Below are 21862 nucleotides of genomic sequence, written 5' to 3'. Positions count from 1 at the left end.
GAATTCCTAGATAATGACACATACTTTATGCAGTTAAAGTTTAAGTTCCTATACTTCTAATTAAAGATTGGGTATTTAATGATGACAGTTCTTTTTGCCTTTGTATGCATTCACAATTCTTTTTGTTACTTTATTGAAGGACCAAAAGTACTTCTTACATATATGATTCTTGCTTATTCATTCTAAGGTGTGAAATAGCCTTTGAGGATAGGGGAAGGGAACTGAGCCATGACTGCTTTCCCTGGTTTGGGTGGGTGGGGTGTAAGATGTAGAGGCTGGAAAGATCTTAAGCTTTTGACTTCTTCAGTGCTGAATTCCTCAATGTGGAGAGCACTGTACCATCTGCTTTAAGCAGCAGATTATAGTCTTATTGTGTGTTTCGTTCTGTGTAGTTCCTACTCACACACGAGCGGGGATTTATTTTCTTTGTGTGTTTTACTAAATATGGAGGAGTAGAGGAATAGATTCATAATTTCAAAAATAAAGTTGAATTTAAAAAATTAGACCCTATGTTTTCATGATTACATTTTGGAATAGTCATTCCCTTGATTCAGATCAATCTCTATATATGGATCATTATACATCATGACAGTTTTAAATTATTTTAACGTTTGTAAATAAATAAATATAAGCTATTTTGCCTTTAACTATAATATTTGAAAAGTAAGTCGGAAGACTGAGTAGGTGGCTATTGTTTTGTTTGCTTAAATGTAAGTGTAAAACATGTAATTGGTCATTTTTCCCAAAAAACTTGACTGGCATTTATTATTTAAATAATAAAGTCTTAATTGATGCTTTCTTCTATTATTATTGTTATATTTTAAAATATTCCTAAAGGCCGATTTAAGGATTTAAACCTTTTCATCATTAAAAATAATGCATTTTTAATGACTTTTAAAAATAGAGCTATGACAAGTGCTTTCGTGGTTCATCAGAAACTGCTGATGCAAATAGCGTATTCTGTGCTCAACTTGTTGCCGTTCAGTGAAGCACTCAACCCAGCACAGATATTTGCAATTCATCAGTTAGGACCTAGATATAAGGTAGTAATAACTGTAATTTTATAAATTCTAGAGAGCGTTTTAGATGTAAAATGTGATGTAATATAACTTTTAGTGAAAATCTTTCTTTAATACAGTTTAAGAGTCATTTCTATTTTTTGGAATGTAGTCAGTTTTTATTATATGTTTCTTTTCGGTTCAAAGGTGCTTTTTTCTCAACTCTTTTCTCTTTATAAACTTTTTTATTCTTCAGAATATTTTCTAATATTGATAGCATGCCTTTTAACAATTCTGAAATAATCTTATAAAACTGTTTTGCTTAATGTAGTATTTAAAATACAAAAATTTGAAATATATATTACATAATGAACATAATAAAGAACTTGTTAATATTACTGGTAACTTGGAAAGAAGAGTTAAAGATTTAGAAGGAATCTAAGATAATATATTTCATGGGCCTGAAATTATTTAATTTTAGTTTATATTTTTGCTTTAATTGCAGTGAGGAAGTAGGTACAGTAGTGAGTAAACTAATTTAGCAAAACTAATTAATGTAATTTATCATTCTTTCTGTTTTTTAAACTTTAAGAACAAAGACTAGGTAAGATAACAGCATGCACGTATATGAGTTAGTTTTAAATGTGCGGTACACCTGGCTAGGGGAACATATAAGGGTTCTGTTTAAATCACACTGGGAATTGTGAAGTCTCAAACTACTTAGAGCTGAAAGAGAATTACACATTATAGTCAAAGTGTTTATAATTCTGAAGGAGTACTTGTCTTGTACGGAAGTGTGGTTTTTTTATTGAACTCAATTTAATTAATGTGAAGATTGTGTAATGGAAAGGAAAAACATAAAAAAATTCCCTCTTTGGCCTCTGTATTTTTGCATTGGTATTTCTGTTTTTATTTTTGTCATATATATATATACATATATATACACACACACACACACACACACACACACACACACACGGATATATATATATAGAGCGAGGGAGGAAAGTTTGAATTTACCCATATTAAAAGATCTTTTTTTCTCAGTGACTTTAATAACCATGATAATATTGAAGGATAATAATGCTATTATTTTTATGTCAAGGTAACAATACTTGCTATCATATATTTTCCATATCATTTTTGTTTTTGTCCTACTAGCTCTAGAAATGAATTTGTGCTTGTCCAGCTACTTTTTCTTTCATGGGTCTTTTTGTCGAATTTGCATCCTGGTTCTGCCATTGCTGATCTTGCATAGGAACATTTTTGTAATTCACATTTTTTATTAATATGCTGCCTGCTTTTCTTTTCTACTTCTTTGAGTTGTTTCATAAAATGCTTGCAGTATCTTTTTAAGCTCTAATAGAATGATATTAAATAGAGTGACAAGCAAACAAATGAAATATAAAAAGGTAGAGTATCAAGAAAATACAAATCCAATATGATTGCTAATGTGAAATTTCAGAATTGATGGGAGCTTCCTGGCAACATCAAGGAAAAGGGCTGAATATAAGCAATTTTGTAATTCTTCTATTCACAGAGAAGCAAACTTTGTCCTGAACAGCTTTGCAATCTCTGTAGTTTGTAGTATTCTTTTCACACGTCTTTCTCGTCATTCTTTTTAACAACAGTGATAATGAGCAGTAACCCGGTCATCATACGTGCACAGCTCATGTGACGTAGTGTATCCTTAATATCCTAACACACAGTGTAGAGTACCTAAAGTCAGAACTTTTAAGAGAGATACCTGTAAATTTGGGCATTACATCAGAGAGTATTTTTTTAAGTTTTGAAAGTTCTCAGCTTACTGCACCCCTTGTTGTTAGTGGGGGTTGATAAAGCCACAGGTACATGCATTTCCTCAATTTGTAAATAGTATAAGTACAATTGCACCATGACAGGCATCAGCAAAAATTTTTTATATTAAAAACCTTTTTTTTTTTTTAGAAATTCAGAGAACATAGAGAAGGAGGAATGCAAATGATCAGATTGTGTTTTGACAGAAGAAAAGCTGAGTAGTTCACACATAGTCAAAATTATCTTGCTAAAGTCACTCTCTGTGAGTGAAGGGGGGTAGAGGGCTACAGCGGAACTTTTAAGGTGTAGAGAATATAATTAACTAATGGACATTTGGATAAATCACAAAATGGAGTTTAAGTTACTTAGTGTTGTATAATAACTTAGTATTTATATTTATTGCCTTCAGTTATATGGAACTTTCATTGTAATGGTCAGACAATATTTATGATTCTGAGCTTAGTGTAGATAGCATGTCAACATATGGGCTTCAAAATTAATAAAATAAGTTAATTCTACCTTCAAATAATGCCATCAAACTATATATTCAATGGAGCCTGTCACAAATGATTTTGACTTGTTGGTCACTGTAGTGCTAGGTAAATTTTTTTCTGTTGATATTTGGTTTTGAGCATTGCAGCTTATCAGTATATATTCTGTACTTGGTTATTTTCTGGAAACAGTAAATAAGTTAGGGTATCACTTATTAACTAAATAAACCGTTCATTTTGGAAAATACAGAAATACAGAAAATATTTAAAATAACAGAAAATCTCACTGTAGATTTGTCTAGTATAGTAAAATTTACTGCCAGATAAGTTTACAGTGGCTATTTGGGGTTATTTAATGTCTTCAAGATTGTGTATGAGGTGGCCCTTTGACATAAGCTTGCAAATCAGATTTTAACAAAGTTTTTATATTTTATAATTATTACTAGACATTTTCTCATTGTTCTGTTAATCCCGTGTGGCAAGCAGTTAGTCTTCATGGCCAGATATTTGAAAATTTAGCTTTGAGTTCTCTCCTTCATTTATGAATATGATAGTATAATAGTTTTTATAATTTGCTATATCATAAAGAAGTTCTAACTGATAAGAGAAAAAGTATAACACAACCTCAAATTAAAAATCACTTCAGAGGATTTCTGATACTTGTATAGAGGGGTGAGCTCCTAACAAACTGATCTTCTCAAAAATAACCATTTGTAAACTCTGCACATAATATAGATAACATCTATCTGAGGATTGTGAAGATTGAATAAAAGCAGGCGAGGGTAGTCAAAATATGGAACAGTCAGTCTGCATGGACTGATATCCCCATTTTTTGCTTTTATAGGAAACTTTCTGGCCAGAAAGTTTCTCTACAGTATTGTACAGAGTAATAGTCACACTATTTAGCATATAATCCAAAAGTACTTATTCTAAAAATGGTCAGGAAAATGTGACTTATTCTCAAGGGAAGAGAAAATCATCATAGACCAACTCTAAGATAACCCACATGTTGGAAATATCACATGAGGTCTATTGTAGCATATGGTTTAGCCCTTTCTAATGTTGAACTGTGAAGGAAATTAACTCTTAGAACTTACTGTGAGTTTTTTTGTGTCACTGAAAATTATCTTGGATGCAAAATTGTTTTGGGTGTGGAATTGAATTGATTAATGTACAGTGAAGTCAATTTCTGCTATGATCACTTATTTAGGAAGAGTTTTGTAGTGAGAGAAATACTATAGAAACTGTGATATTAAATATTTTACGTAATTTTAATCATCTTTTAAAATATTTCACTGTAATTCAGTCCTAAATTAGGCTTAAGAGATGAAACGTTTTGAAAATGTCAAAAGATTTTTCCCCCTTACTGATAACCGTAAATCCGATTTGAAACTTAATCTACTTGATTACTTTGCAACATTCTTTTAAAAGTGGAGGAGGTATTGGATTTTAGGGGGGGAATCTTTACTTTTTACGTAAGTTATTTCCAGTCTTCTTAATAAAAAGATCTTTATTTAAAAAGCCAATCTAGCTGTGGTACTTTGCTTTTTCAGTAAAAACCAAATTGAATAGCCAGTTTATGTCTTCAGAGAGCTACCTTTGAACAGAACTTAGGTTTATATATTCACTCTTAATCATTTTAGTTATGAATTAGGTGTATCTTTATGATATATTGAATTCTAAATAATAAAAGTACCTCAAAAATAATAAAACTTCATGGATCACATTACATGAGTTATATCTACATTAGTTATTTTAAAAAATTAAATACAAATTGAAATGGATAAAGTTATAGTAAAATAAGTCAAAATCTATATTTAAATTTTAATGGCATATAAATATATGTATATTATAAACAGGTTAGTTATGTTTTTATACATAGTTAATAAATATTCTCAGGTATTTGTGGGCCAAGACTGTTGTGGCATTCTTTATCAATAAAGGCCAAAAAGCTCTGGAGAAATAATAAATATGCTAATTTACAAGAGGTATTATTATGCTATTTCTTTCATTTTTTTCCCATGGTCTAACCCTTTACGATCTGATACTTGAAATAAACATTATTTTCTAACAAATTAAGCTTATTAAGAATTACAAGATGGTAATTATTTTTAAGAAAAAACACCCACTAGATTATTAGCATCATTTTCCTTAAAAAGATACAGGATTACAAACTCTCATCCATTCCTGAAGTAGAATTGCTACTTATAGAACATGTGTTATAGTACTGTCTGTTGAAAAGTTGAGCAATTACATATCATGACATAATAATCAGCATACTTTTGGTCTATAAAATAAAATACTCCTCTGAAAATCTTTTCCTAGGTATTGATATAGTTTTCAAGAGAGTGTTCTATGTTGTATTAGTTTTGGCTGACACCAGTACTTGCTTTTTGGTTTATCCTGGAGTATATATTTAGATCCTCTGCAGATGAACTGATGCGTTCTAGACAGGAAGTTGTATGTAGGAGATATAGGAATGGGCTGAAGTATCTTTTATATTTGCCTTTGTATCTAGGGAAGTTGGAAATAGGCAAGAATGGAGAGAAATTTTGTATGGCAGTACACAGAATTTTGCAAGTTTATTGTGAGCCCTGCAACAATCCGATGCATTTTAGTTCCTGGTAAGTTTGTTGAATTATGTTTGAAAATGTACCTCTTCGAAGATGGCCATCTATTTACTATTACGTCCACCATGTCAATTATACCTTATTGTAAAGATTTTTTTTTTTTTTGCAAAGATGTGGTATTGCTATTGCATTGGGTTTTAGGTATAAATTGAAACTACCTTTGTTAGTGAATGCATTTGACATTTCAATTGGTGTCCTAGTTAATGTTGAAGTGAAATTAATACTTCATGGATAGCAGAGTCTTGTTAAGATTTTGGAATAATAATATTAATATTTCAGTTTTTATAATAGGGCTCCACTGTGTTTAGAGGTCTGAGTTAACTCATTAGATATTTGAGAATGAGTAGTTATTCTGACATAAAAGAATGAGAAAATCTGTGTCATCCTTGCAATTGTATATGGTTCTATATAGTAGGGTGATTTACTGTAAAATACTTTTTTGCCTTTTTTCATGGATCATAAGGACCACTGTGAGGCATTTCTAGTCTTTCTTTTTGGCAGTGCTCATGTTTAGGAATCCATTTTCCCTCAATCACTAACTTTGGTGTATGTAAGAATTCTATGAACAGATTAGGAAATTGTGTAACCTCTATGCATGGTTTTCTTTATTCTTTTTACACATCTAGGCAGATGTGTTATGTGTAATATAGTACTTAGCAATTATTTGTGAAGTGGCCTTGACTATTCAATTCATTTAAAATGGACTAGATTGCTTAATAGCTGTGCTTCTTTACAGAAACGTTTTTTAAAATCCCAAGAGACTCATTGGTAGTTGTAGTTTTCTTGTAAGTGTCTATCTTTGGCTTAAGGACAAAGTAAAAAAAAAATCATTGATATGTGATAGTTTACATTTTTTGTGGTTTAAGGATATAGGGTCAGTTAATATAATTGAATTTTAATTTCCTATAATGAAGTACTTTATTTCTGGATACTATATTTTGTCTAGCTGATATGTAATTCATTAAACTATCAATTTTTATAATAATGACAATGATAATTTTGCTGTTGGTTCTTGTTATGAGAACATTTCTGATTTGAACAAAAGTAGCCACATTATGAGAAAAATACATTATCCCTATTGAAACTGGAAGAGCTAGAATAATTCAAAAATTAGAATAACTTCAGATTCCTTTCGGGCTTTAATAATTTTCAAGTTTTCCTTATTACCAAATTGTCTGAATTACTTGTAAGAATGAGTACTTCTGCATTTAAAATATGTTTAGAAATTTGTGGTTTTACCCTTTCTTATGAATATAAATAGGTAATTTAGGGTATATTATAAAACATTGTAAATTGATATTCTTTTAATTGTTGATAAAATCTGGTATATAACAATTTATTATGAGCTACATTAAGCATATACAGTGAAGGAATATGTATTTCCATTATTCAGAATACTATATTCATATATCAGTGTTGCTGGTTAAAATCATTATATGTAACTATGAAGTAATATATTATCAAAGCTTAATTCAATGCAGTCTTTCTATTTTGTTTCTTCATTCATTCCAAAGACATACCAAGTGCTAAATCTTTGACGCCTCTTTGTCTGCCTTTATGTATTTGTTTATATACTGTGTAATTGTCACTTTTCATTTCAATATTACATAAATCATTTCTTTGCTCTCATGAGCTTTTCTTAGGGCATACCTGGACATAAGTGACATGTTACATATTCCTCTGGATTTTTTTTAACAAAGTGTTTTTGAAGAATAGTTCTAAATGAAAAGTTTATTTAAAAATAGGGCTTGTTCTTACAAAGCAATATTGCATCTATATTTAAAATTCTCTACAATAGCTTGTTATTCAAAAGAATAGTATGATACAGTCTTTATTATGGAAAATGATATGTGTATGTTTCTTAGGTTTACTTGAAGCCAGACCTATAAATATATGTAGCGATAAACTTTGATGTTTTACTTTGGAATGTAAAAAAACTACACAGTTATGATTCAGTTTATTATATTTAATTTGTAAAGGACAACACTAGTTTTCTCATGCTTATCAGGAAATATATTCTTTCATAATATAAGGCATAATAGTCATTGTCAATAAAATAGAGATTAGATTTGAATATGGTTATCTCTTGGCATAATAAAATACTGAAATGGAGCACTGTGTTTAGAATAAACGTGATGATTACATAATGATATCTGTACTTTACATGCAGTGCTACTCTTTCGGCATTCCTGGTTGAACTACTTAAAAGTTCAGTAGCCATGCAAGAACAGGTGCTGGGTGGAAAAGGCTTTTTAGTTATTGGCTAATTACTTGAAACGGTAGGTGATGTGTTGATGGTTTTATTGTGTAGCCTCACAGTTGGACAGCTGACAATCACTAATTATATTTTTTCTATAATTTCACTTTCCATTGACTGTGTAGAGATTATACTATTTGCTAACTCACAAACATCTTAGATTTAAGTGTAGACATGGAATTAACTGGGTATTGGAAGCATAATTAAATTTTGAATTAAAAAACTAAAGAAAAAAATTTCATCTATATCTATTCAAGCAATAAGTATCATTTAAGTTTTTCTATAGTAGTACCCCTTTATTTCTACTCTCTCTTTCTAAGGTGTCACTTACCCATGGACAACTGCAGTTCAAAAATATTAAATGGAATAAACAATTTATAACTTTTAAATTGTGTGCTGTTCTGAGTAGAGTGATGAAATCTCGTACTGTCTCTCTTCATCAAGTCCGGACATGAATCCTCCTTTTGCTCAGCTTTTTCATGCAGTATACACTGTCTTCCTATTAGTCATTTAGTAGCTATCTCAGTTCTCAGACTGAAAATCGTATATATCATCCACTAGGGGTCTTGGAAGCATCGCCTCCGGATAAGAAGTGAGTACTGTAGTTGTTTCTTTGCTATCTTTTCACTTAGACTTTTTTTTTTATTTTTTATTTTTTTTGAGACAGTGTCTCACTCTGTCTCCCACACTAGAGTGCAGTGGTGCGATCTTGGCTCACTGCAACCCCCACCTCCCGAGTTCAATCAAGCAATTCTCCTGCCTAAGCCTCCCTAGTATCTGGGATCACAGGTGCGTACCACCATGCCTAGCTAAAGTTTTGTATTTTTAGTAGAAACAGGGTTTTCCCCACGTTGGCCAGGCTGGTCTTGAACTCCTGATCTCAAGTGATCTGCCCACCTCGGCCTCCCAAAGTGCTGGGATTACAAGCATGAACCACTGCGCCTGGCCTTAGACTGTTTCTTGAAAGTCTTTTTTATTAAGATAAAAATCTTTATATTTAGTATACATGGATTTACCTGTTAGGTTTTGTGTTATTTTTTAATTATGCGGTCAAAATTTTTATTTTGTAGTAATAGAAACATTATTTTGTGCTCTTTTTCCCTACTCTTAATATATATGACTATTTAAAGTAGTTTTTTTCATCTATACATAGTATAAACAATAAAAATTAGATGGGTTTACATTTTCCTATTTTGTGTCATTTATGTTGTTTTATGACCTCTTTTGCTTTAGTCACAGCTGTGCTTTTATGAGTGCTGAATTTCTGATTATGATCTCACAAGAGTTTAGTTGTATCATGTGATTTCCTTTAAAAATTAGTGAGATTTCATGAATAAGCGTTTTTTTATTTTTTATTTTTTTAGTATTTATTTATTTTTTTGAGACAGAGTCTCGCTGTCGCCTGGGCTGGAGTGCAGTGGCGCGATCTCGGCTCACTGCAACCTCCGCCTTCCGGGTTCACGCCATTCTCCTGCCTCAGCCTCCCGAGTAGCTGGGACTACAGGCGCCTGCCACCACGCCCAGCTAATTTTTTTGTGTTTTTAGTAGAAACAGGGTTTCACCGTGTTAGCCAGGATAGTCTCGATCTCCGGACCTCGTGATCCGCCCGCCTCAGCCTCCCAAAGTGCTGGGATTACAGGCGTGAGCCACTGCGTCCAGCCAGCATGTTGTGGTTTTTTTTAATGACAAATACCTGTGCCCTTTATTAGCACTCTCAAACCTCTTATCAGTTAGTTAACTCTATAATATTCAGCTGCTCTGAAAATGAGACTATTTGAAAAGTAATAGAAGTGAGATCTCAACTAAGGGATAAACATACATTTCCTCTGGAAAAAAATTGAGAACATACTTTGAAGCAGTTTTAATTTTACCTCCAATTGTTTTACATTTGAAATGTTATCAGTTGATTAATGGACAAACAAAATGTAGTGTATACATGCAATTGAATATTATTTAGTCACAAAAAGAGTCAAGTTCTAAAATATGCTATATTTTATATATTACATGTCTTTATACATATATATGTTATATATATAAAAAATATGTCTTTGAAACTAGTGCTGACCTTTCCTTAAGGATTAAGCATTGAAGAGTGGTAGATTGTTAAGATTGATCATTGGTAGCATTTCTTTATTGAGATGATTTTTTCCATAACATTATTAAGAACTTAAGGCTCTTTGGTTTATTTTTTAAAATAAGAGAATACTCTTTTTCTGTATCTAGAGTATTAAGAATTGTTTAGAAGATGTATGATAAGCTACATTTAACATGAATTCGATAACATATGAAATGCCTTTGTAAGATTACTGTGTGTGACAGGATTTCTGTGAGGACTTACCCCTTTAAATGTGCTTTCATTTGTTTACTTGAGAATGTATCAGAAAATCCTAAATTAAACATTCTTTTACTTAAAACTTAGCTTATAATTAGAAATATTTGTAAAAGCCTTCAAATAAAAATGTATGTTAATATTTCATATTATAATGTCAATTTAGTGGATGCAAAATATTATTTCATTGTGGTTTTAATTTGCACTTTTCCTAGATTTTGAATAAGATTAGACATTTTCATATATAATTATGGAAAATGAATATTTTATCTTCTTTGTTATTCATTTCCTTTACCAATTTTCCCTATATCTCTTCATGATTCCCACCCCTAGTCAATCCATAATTCACTTTTTGGCTTTATGAATTGCTTATTCTAAATATTTCATGTAAGTGGGATCATACAATATTTGTCTTTTTGTATTTGGTCCATTTTGCTTAGCATAATGTTTTCAGTGTGCATCCATGTTATAGCATATTTTTTTTCATTCCTTTTTATTGCTAAGTAATATTCCAACAGTATTTTAATTTGTATAGCTTTTTAGTGCAGCCTGATATTTAAGAGTATGTCATCTAGCTTTACTGTTGTTCTTGACGATTGCCTTGGCCATTTCTGAGTCTTTGCATTTCCATATATGTCAGCTTATCAACTTCCACCAAAAAACATGAGGATTTTTATTGTATTATATTGACATCTTTCCTATATTGAATCTTTCAAGTCATATACTTGGTATATTCTTTTATTAATTTAGATTTTCTTTTGTAGTTTTCTGTATAGAACAGTTTCTGTCTTTTTGATGGATTTATTTCCAGATATTTGATATTATTTGATGCCCTTAAAATTTTAATTCTTTGCACTTGATCTTACCCAAAAGGCCAAGAAGCAATTAAAAGTTTTGATTTTTAATTTGTTACTGGTACATAGTATTATAATTGATATTTATGTTGAACTTTTATATACCAATCTTTCTATTCCTCTATTAAATCTAGTCATTTGTAGATTTTTTTCAAAAAAAATTTTGTAGACAATAATAACATCGGAGAATGATAGTTTTGTTTTTTCCTTTCTAATATTTATTTTTTTATTTTTTTCCTTGCCTTGTTATGCCACCTAAAGACTGCCAGTACAGTGTTGAATAAAAGTTGTGATAGTGGCCATCCCTGTCTTATTCCTGATCTCATGGGCAATGCTGTTAATAATTAGACACTAAGTATGATCTTTTTAATAATTAGTTTTTGTAGATTTTTTAGTTAAATTAAGGAATTATCTATTTCTATTTTTCTAAGAGTTTTCTTTATTATAAACAGGATTTTATCAAACATCTTTTCTGCAGTATTTGAGATGAGTATGATGTTTCTCATTTTTCTTAGTGAATTACATTGATTATTTTTCAGATTTTAAACCTTCCTTATATTCCTGGACACTCACTTACTCCTAAATCTATTCCTATTCCAACCTGTCTTTCATTCTTCCATGTCCTTTCAGATGGCTCATGTCTTTGTCACCAGTGGCCTTCACAGTCTGTCCTGTGATTATTTCTCAGTCCTTATCTTATTCGACCTGTGAATATTTCGGTTGAACAGTCTTTCCTTCTTGAAATGCTTTCTTGCATTGTGTTTTGCCATGGTTTGCTTTGTTTTTCTCTTACTTATTCTCTCTCATTAGTTCTCCTTCATCTTTATAAATTCTGATGACTCTTCTTTCCCAGTGATTAATCCTGGAAAGCATTTCACTTTTCCATCTACACAGTACCTTACTCTAATTGAGATTATCCACTTCTACAGCTCCCGTGATCCTGTAAATACTAATTACCCTCAATTGTTTCTCCTATTTTTAGTTCCACTTGGATTTCTAGTAATCTTCTTGACTAAATTATCCAGACTGATTTTTCTCTCAAATTTTTCATCCTTCAGAGTTGTTTGTCTTATTTAGTGGCATTACCATTCAACAAGTAGTTGAAACCAAAAAGTTAATTGTTTTTGACTCTACTTTTGTTGCACTCTAGATCCAAACTCTCAGGAAATTATGTTGTTTTACTCTCAAAACATATCCAGAATCAATTACTACTTCCTCTTTATTTCTCAACTCCTTACTATGTCCGTTGATACCATTTTAGTTCAAATCATGATCGTCCTTCACCATTGGTTACCTACAGTCCGTTTTTCACTTGCAGTTAGACTAGTTGTCCTAAAATGTGCCAAATCTTATTCAAGTCTTCATCCTTCTCATAATGAAGTCATAAGCCTTACACCTCACATCATCTCTCCCCACTCTCTTGCTTTCTCTGTTTTAGGCAAAGGTCTTTTTGCCTTTCCCTTAAGAACTAAAATGATAAGAATTTACCCAAGGACTTTTGCATTTACTTCCCCCATTGTTTCCATCACTTTTTCTTCAGATACTCACAGAATTTGATTCTATGCTTCATTCAGGATTTTGCTTGTATGATGCCTTATCACAGAAATATTCTCCGATCATTCTAAATAAATTAGTATCCCTTCCATAACCATCAGTGTTTACCTACTCTGCTAATTTTACAGCACCATTCTGGCGTGTTTTATATTTTTTACCAATTTTCTGCCTCCTCCTGCTAGAATGTAGGCTTCATGAAAGCAGGGGCAATATATATATATATATATATATATATATATATATGTGTATATATATATGTATGTATATATATTTTTTTGTCTCCTCTTATTGTTATATCTTCAGCACCTAGCACAGTGCTGGGCTCAGTAAATAGTTGTTGAATTGAGTATATGAAATGTCCTTGCATGCTTGTCTGATTACCTAAGAAACAGTAACTTTTTTACCTTTCTCAGAGGAATGCTCATATTGTGTTATTTTTAAATAATCAGTGGCCAGGTTAGTATTAATAGTATAGGTAATAGAAGTTTGATTTTTTAATTTCTTAACTTAATAACAGGTTACTGGTTAATGCCACTTAGCTTTTATATCTCCTTGTCATAGAAGATATCTTAGGAAGATAGTATATGCGAGGCCTTTTATTAATAACAATTTTACTGTTCCATGAAAAAATTTTAAGGTGTTTTTGTTTTGTTTTGCCAAAATATGATCTTGTGGAAAACTTAGAGGTTATCCAGTATATTCAATAGGATATTTTTGATTGTGGTTAGTAGAAAATTTGATTCAAAGTATCTTAAACATTAAGAAAATATACTAATGTAACAAAGTCTAGTGTTAGATGGCATATCAGTTATATTCTTGGCAGGAAACAGATGGTGTACTCAACCTAGGTTTTTGAGAAGAGTTTAATGCAAGGGTATTCAAAAAGTTGAAAGCAGGGAGCTTGGGAAGATTTGAAGAGATGAGGGGAATAAGTGTTTAGCATAACCCAAAGAGAAAGTTATTGTAGCTATAGAAGAAGGGTGCCTGATGGGACTGTGGTCTTCAAGAAAGGAGTATAGTGTAAGTGTACTGAAGGGGTAAAATCTGGAAAATGTATACCCAACTTCATTTTCTTTCTGTCCCTTAATTTCTTGCTAATGTCTTCAATTAGTCAAACTCAACTGGAAACCAGTAGGCAAGGGAGCGTCCCAAGCATTAAAACAGGACAGGGAGGTTGGAAAGGCAGCAAAAGGTTGGAAAAGCAGCAAACATAAGTTGTGTTTCAGGGCTGGGTTATCTGAGTCTCAATAATGTCATCAGAGACCCAGGTTTTATCTATATCTCTGCTGTACCAGCTACAGTGTTGATTTTATGCTAAAGCTGATACTGTTTGAGGTCACAAGGCTGCCAGAGAGAATTAGTGCTATAGACCTTCACATCCAGGTGAAGAAAGCAAGCTCCTTTCTGTCAATTACTGAGCAAGATTCTTCTCTCCAATTTGATTGGTTAGCTTAGAGCTTGGCTGGCCTTCTTTTGAATCAATTGTTGCTATGCTACACTTTGATACTGAGTCTCTGAACTAATCATTGCCTGCCACCCTCCCCATCACTCCACCAAAACAACAACAAATGATTAATCTGGTTGGATTAGGCTATTTGGAGCACAACCTTGGAGTCCTGGGAGGAGCAGAATGGATAATAGACTATGGTGTACCTCTACAATTAAAATAGTTTTACACAATTTATTGAATATATAATCATACATGTTATGGGTATATGTGTGTGTATGTATAATGCTTTCTACAATAAAAATGAACATTTCTGATAACCTGTTCCATTATAGGCTAATCTAAATGTTGGAACAATCTCTCTTTATTGAACAGAAGTTTCTCTTTGTAACCGCCAGTGCTCCTATTTGGTTTAGTTAATTCTGGATTGGATGCTATAATGCAACTATTTTTATAACTTCTCAGGTATTATTTCCAAATATGGTTAGCCATGTCACATTATAGTACTTCTTAAAAATTATGTATTCTGTCACCACATAAAATTAATATATAGATCAAATTCCAGGGCTTACATTTTCTATGAGATTTAAATTGTTCCATCTAAAGGTTACAGATTTATAACTATAAATTATCCAAGTGTAGATCTGTTTTTAAAGTAGTTTTACTTGAGAAAATGAAAACAAATACCAAAATATAAAAATATTTTGAAACTGTTAATCAAATGAAATACATTTAAAAGCAGAGTTAGAATCTTCTTTCTTCTCTTCCCAGGCTTTGTTTTTTCCTACCTATTCTATTCTTACTCCATTTTTGAATTTGACATTATTTCAGTTAAATGTTCCCTGAGAAATTAGGGTAGGGATCAGGAAGACAAAAGATGAATAAGATAATATTCTTTCTTATATTACGAAAGAGAGATTTTTTTTTTTACTAACAATAATACAAGGAAGGAGGAATAAGTACTTCTAAGAGGTAAAGGTAACATGCTGTTGAAGAGAATATTCATTTATACATTTATACACTATTTATAATCCAGAATAGTAGGATTTTGAGGAGATCAATAAAAAGACAATAAAATATTTTCTAAAGAATAATTTTAGAATGAAAATCTGCCACCCAACAGCATTAATTGTTATGTGAAAACAGCAGGCCCCCCCATTTTTTTTTAAGTAATGTGGAAGGCCTTGTGATGCTTTTAGTATACCTTTTAATATCATGGTCCAAGTTCCAAACTTGTTTCTATATTATGAATTCATCAAGTGGATATGTTTATAATGGTCAGCCTGATTTTATAATACAGGTTAATGTTCTTTATAAGGACATGATGAATAATTTTTATGAGCTACAGTCTGGTCACATAGTATGTTTATCTATAAACAGGATCTGACTGTATTTTATTTTAGAGTTTTAAGTGTGAGAGTAGAATGTTATCAGATCATGTTCTTGAAATCATTACTACTGAATAAAAATAGAATGTATAAGATAAGCTATGTGAAATTATATTTAGTGAAGGAGCTGGCTGAAGTTTTAAATAACTATTGATCTCTTATTTTAATTTTATTCCTTTACAAATAAAATATTTTTAATTTAAAGTACTATATTATTTTCACTGATACTCCTTTAAATATGAATACTCAATCTTTACTTTTTAAACTCAAATGTTTGTTTTGGTTCCCCTCCTTTATTAACTCAGCTATTTATTTAGATTGATTTCCACCATCTTTCATAAAATTTTCAGTGAAAATTATGTACTAAGGTTTGCTTTGAATTTTGTAGGCTATTGCTTATGTAAGCACCATTGGTAATTTTGTCAGACAAAGAATTCTATTATATTAATACTAAATTATTTGTAACCTTATAATAATTTGAACCAATTAAATGCCCCTTCTTAGTAAAACCTGTTCACCATTCTTCTACAAATGTTTTATCTGCTCCATAGTTTCTTTCATTGAACTTAGTAACCTCTAACATGTTACATATTGTACCTTTTTATTTTATTTACTCTGTGTTCCTGCCTTATCATCTCTTAGAATATGTTCTGTGAGACAGAGTTTTTACTTCAATTTTGTTAGCTGCTTTTTTGACAGTGCCAGGGAGCGTATTTGACTGACAGTGAGCAATCAGCATGTATATTTTCTAAATGACTAAAATAAAAGTCTTGAGCTCTACCTTTAAGGTAAAGGAAATGTATGCAAGGGTGTTACAAACTGGGGGAGCAAGACAGAGAAAGCAGGGGAAGAAAATGTGTCCTGTGGGTGAAACTGGCCCACAGTAATATTCTGTGGGACTCAACAAAAAGGTTTAGTTTTGTTCCTCACCACTCTTTTTTGTCTCCTACACTGGTTTACACATTGTTGTTAGTTATTTGCAATCATTTTAGTTTGTGACCTTTTATGTAGAAGTGTGAAAATTCATGATGTGTTTAAGTCAAATTTATTGAGTTGTCCTTATGATCATGAGAAATATAGCTAAATCATATGGGAGGTAAAATTGGTAAGACAGTTTCATCCCTTTTAAATTTTGATCGTCTTAAACTTATATTCAGACTTCAGTCAGTGAAGAATAGGAAGGAAAGATGTGTTGTGTGATGTGTGCTTTAGGGTTGAGTGGTACATGATTCTTTACCCTATGACTGAAAGGATAGTGATACTACAAAACTGTATCACTAGATGAGGAAGAAAAGATTTGTGTCGGAAGATATATTTTTTGAAGTTTGAGTTTGAATTATCAGCTTTTGTGAAGAGCATTTTTTAATATAGCATTTTTATCTGAAATTGTATTCTAGGATAGCATTGTCCAATTAAAATACAATTCAAACCTCAGGTGCAATTTAATATTTTCCAGTAAAAAATTACAGGTTATATTAATCTTAATAATGTCTTTAGTCTAGTATTTTATTTTGATAATATGCAAAATATTATTTCAACATCTATTCAATAAGAAAATACGATTTTTAAAAATATTCTGAGCTGGAAAAACCCAGTGTTTTCATACTCACAACACATCTCACTTTCAATTGCAACATTCCAGCAGCTCAGTTGCCACATAGGGCTTCTGGCTACTGTATGAGATGGTGCAGCTTTAAGGTTTGGTTTCAATTTTGGAGAGTCTGTTGTTTAAATACCATTGGTAATAGGTATATGGTGATAGCAGTTGAAAATTCTTGAAGTGAGTACTCAGCATAGACATAGTGTTATATGAAGCTGTGAAAGCATAATATATCATCCAGGGATACGGTATTTATGAAGAGCAGACCAAGGAAATAATATTTTAAGCAATATTTTACATATTTTTAAGCAATATTTTTACATGTTTTAAACAATCTCTATTCTTATGTCTAAGATTTCTTCTTATATGTCAATTTCTACAAAAAATGAAATGAAGCCATTCTTATAACATTTCATTTCTTTAGCTTTAGCTAATAGTAGCATTATTTAACTTGAATTATTTATCTGTAATTGTCTTAGATTAGGCTTCAAATAACAAGCTATCACTCAAAGAAATAGCTAAAATTTTAGATCTCTTAATAAAATTATATTTTAATAGCAAATAATATAAATGTATTTCATATTTATTAGTGATAGCATATGAAAAATTCATGTGTGCTTATGCTAAGTCAGAAATTATACAATTTAATATTCTGGATATTTCAAGCTAGAATTTCTGTTTTCTTTCTTAGTCATCAAGAGTTCATATAACTAGACCTGTCTTGGAGCAATTTTTATCTTTTGCAAAATACCTTGATGGTTTATCTCATGGAGTACCTTTGCTGAAGCAGCTTTGTGATCATATTTTGTTTATTAACCCAGCCATCTGGATACATACACCTGCAAAGGTATGAGTTTTATACTTATTCAGTTTGTTTTAGTGTAATGTTATACATTATAGTTGCTGGATCTAAAGTATCCAGTGGAAAACATTTGAACATTTTAGCTTATTTTATAGTTAATCTGCAGCAATTGTGTTAGGCAGTATCAGGAGATCAAAATATTTATAAGTAGTAAAATAAATGAAACTATAGGTAAAAAAGAATCTTTGTGTAACACTGCATTCTAACATCTTTAGATGTGATACATACTTTTCCAATGAAGAGAATTTGCTATACCAATTTTTGAAAGACTAGGAAAGAGAACAGATAACTAATTGTATTATGACTGTAATCATTTTGCTGGAAAATTGCTTTCATTTTGAAGGCAGAATTTATATCATTACATGTAAATAATACTCACTTAAAAATAAATATATACATGAAATAAATATTTTTCCAGATAATAACAGAAAATTCTTATTATTTTGTATACCAGAATTTAGTCTTAGTGGAAATCAATAATGAGGGATATTTTGATTTTGAGCTATCTTTTACAGTTTAATAATATCTCCCTGAGTTATTTATTATTGCCTAAGCCCAAATCTTAATTTTGAGAACTCTTTTAAGCAAGATGTCTGACATGCCATCTCTGTGCTCACATGGTCAGATTGTGAAAGCAAACTATATATATTATGGCCACAGGGGAGGAGAATTTGAAATTGCATGAACTTTTAGGATATATGACAAAAATGTATAGGTTTTCAGATAGGCTTTAGCTGACTGATGTTCTGTTGCTATGAAGAAATTTATACACTGAAAGCTACTGAAATATACTTTAAGAGCTTTAGTTGACTTTTAAAATATTTTAATCTTTTTATCAGATTAATTTCAATAAATTAATCATTTTAAAATTATTTAATTGCCACAGCTGTTAGACTACCTTATTATAATAAGTTTATTAGAAAACGTTAATTGCAGATTATATATATATATATATATATATATATATTTTTTTTTTTTTTTTTTTTTTTTTTTTTTTTTGAGACGGAGTTTCACTCTCATTGCCCAGGCTGGAGAGCAATGGCGCGATCTCGGCTCACCGCAATCTCCGCCTCCCTGGTTCAGCCCATTCTCCTCCGTCAGCCTCCCGAGTAGCTGGGATTACAGGTATGTGCCACCGTGCCTGGCTAATTTTTTTGTATTTTTAGTAGAGATGGAGTTTCTCCATGTTGGTCAGGCTGCTTTCAAACTCCCGACCTCAGGTGATGCACCCGCTTCAGCCTCCCAAAGTGCTGGGATTACAGGCCTGAGCCACCGCGCCTGGCTATATATTTTTAAAATATAAATAATATTGAAGAAGAAAGTTATTTTTAACCTCTTAATAAATGATCATTTCTTGGCCTTTACTAATTTGCGTTTAAATTAAAACAATGCATATTTATAATATAAGCACTTGAGGCATTTTAAGTTCATTTTAATGATCTGTTAATATTCTGTATTAGGTTCAACTTTCCCTATATACATATTTGTCTGCTGAATTTATTGGAACTGCTACCATCTACACCACCATATGCAGAATAGGAACAGTTATTAAAGATAATGCACACCTTAAAATATTACTACTGGGTTATTAATCCTGCTGACAGTAGTGGCATTACACCTAAAGGATTAGGTATGTATAACACTTCCACTGTATTTACATTTGCCTATGAATATTCTGTATTCTGAGTACTGTTAAAGTGTGAGCCGTGTACATGACTATGAAATCACTGAAATGTTTTCTTTCTTATGTAGCAAACTGACATATTGAGAATTGTTTGTGGTAAAGAAGTTTAGGGCTTTTCAATATTAAATTATTTTGGAATAAAATCAGGTAAAAAGCAACAATAGTCTTTATTTTAGCCTGTATGCCTTTTTCCATTCAGGAAGACACATTTATAATATTAAAAACAGTTAAATGATATTGGTAAGTGTGTTCTAGTACATCAGTTGCTTTCAACATTTTCAGATTGTTACATGTTTTCATATTTTTATTCCAGATTTATCCTTTGTTGTGACTGTAGTGGAAACTAATTTAATTCTTCACTGTGATATCTTTTTTGTTTTGAAAATATAGCCAGTTTTTCTAATTATACAAAAAAAAGAAAATAAATAATACAGAAGAAGATATATATTTATGGCCCAAACCCCAAGAATAATTACTGATACGATTTTGGCATGTTTTCTTCCAGTGTTTCTCATTGCATACATATATAAAAATATTTAAACTTCTTAATTATAAATTGAGATTTTCTCAATTTTTCTATCTTGTCCTTTTCTCAGCTCAATGTAGTAATGTAAGAGGATGTACCATTTACATTGTTTCTAAAGTTTTGATTTTATACATATTAGAGGATTCTCTCATATATATATGTGTTTACCTCCATCTTTGATTTGTTTAAAATTACTGAAAAAGGGGCTAATGACAAATATTTTAAATTTTTTTCAGGAATGTCATATTATTTTAGTTTTACCAGTAGTATGTTAGAGTACTTCCTTTAGCGTGCTCACAATAACATTGAATATTATAGTTTTATAATAATCCCTTTGATAAGGAAAAATAGCATTTTCCAATTTTTTTTTTTTTTTTTTTTTGAAATGGAGTCTCCCTCTGTAACCCGGGCTGGAGTGCAGTGGTGCTATCTGGGCTCATTGCAAGCTCTGCCTCCCGGGTTCATGCCATTCTGCTACCTCAGCCTCCCGAGTAGCTGGGACTACAGGCCCCTGCCACCACGCCTGGCTAATTTTTTGTATTTTTAGTAGAGGGGTTTCACCATATTAGCCAGGATGGTCTCGATCTCCTGACCTCGTGATCTGCCCAACTCGGCCTCCCATTTTACTATTTTAATATTTATACAAGCTTACTTTTATCTCTTTTTATTTTATTAATGGGGCTTTAGAAGTTATTTATATTCAGATCTGTTATTTTGTCCTTCTATGGCTTCTTCCATTGCTTTTAAGTTGGTAATGCCTAAAATGTATTGGATTTTTCTGCCAAGCACTCTACCTGTTAATTTGTTTAGTAATATATATATATATAAAACATAATATAATTATAGATAAATAGACATATTCATATCCATACATAAGACTGCATCTATATGTAACTTTGTTTTTGATATCATCCTCATTTTAAAGATTAGGAAACTGAAAGTTGGTGCAAACCAACCAGCACCAAAATTTGGATCATATCTATCTGACTCAGAGATCTCATTCTTAAATGCTACTCTATGATAGAGTTTTCTCTAGTCTAAACAAATCATATATTCACACATAATAATTTCTGCCTTAAAATATTAATTTCTAATTTACAGAAAAGTTACAAAGTTGCAAACATTGCACAAAGAATTCTCATATGTCCCTCAGTAGATTCTCAATATTTTACATCTTACCACTTTAGGCTTTACTATTCTCTCATGCTCTTTTTATATATATATAAACACACCTACAGACACATGCCCATATTTTTTTCTGAATCAATTGATAATAAATTGTAGACATGATACCCTCTCACCTCTAAATACTTTATTGTGTATTTCCTGAAAGGTAAAGGCACTTTGTTAAATAACCAGAGGATATCCATTAATATCAGGAAGTTAGCATTAATACAATACTATCATCTAATTCAAAGACCCCCACTCAAATTTCACTAATTACA

General features: G+C 31.2%; 1 pseudogene across 1 annotated transcript in view; it reads left to right on the top strand.

The window, feature by feature from the left end:
- The window catches only part of NBEAP1 (neurobeachin pseudogene 1), an 86684-nt pseudogene extending 66847 nt beyond the window's left edge, over positions 1-19837 (top strand). Inside the window, exons 2-3 of the transcript NR_027992.1 lie at positions 18037-18192; positions 19668-19837. The product of NR_027992.1 is annotated as a neurobeachin pseudogene 1 (transcript). The remainder of the gene's footprint in view (positions 1-18036; positions 18193-19667) is intronic.
- The last annotated feature ends 2025 nt before the right edge of the window (positions 19838-21862 follow it).

Source organism: Homo sapiens, chromosome 15 (assembly GCF_000001405.40).
Source record: "Homo sapiens chromosome 15, GRCh38.p14 Primary Assembly".
In the NCBI taxonomy this organism is placed as follows: Eukaryota; Metazoa; Chordata; class Mammalia; order Primates; family Hominidae; genus Homo; species Homo sapiens.
The sequence above is the reverse complement of the archived record's forward strand: the minus strand, read 5'-3'. Positions and strand labels throughout refer to the sequence as shown.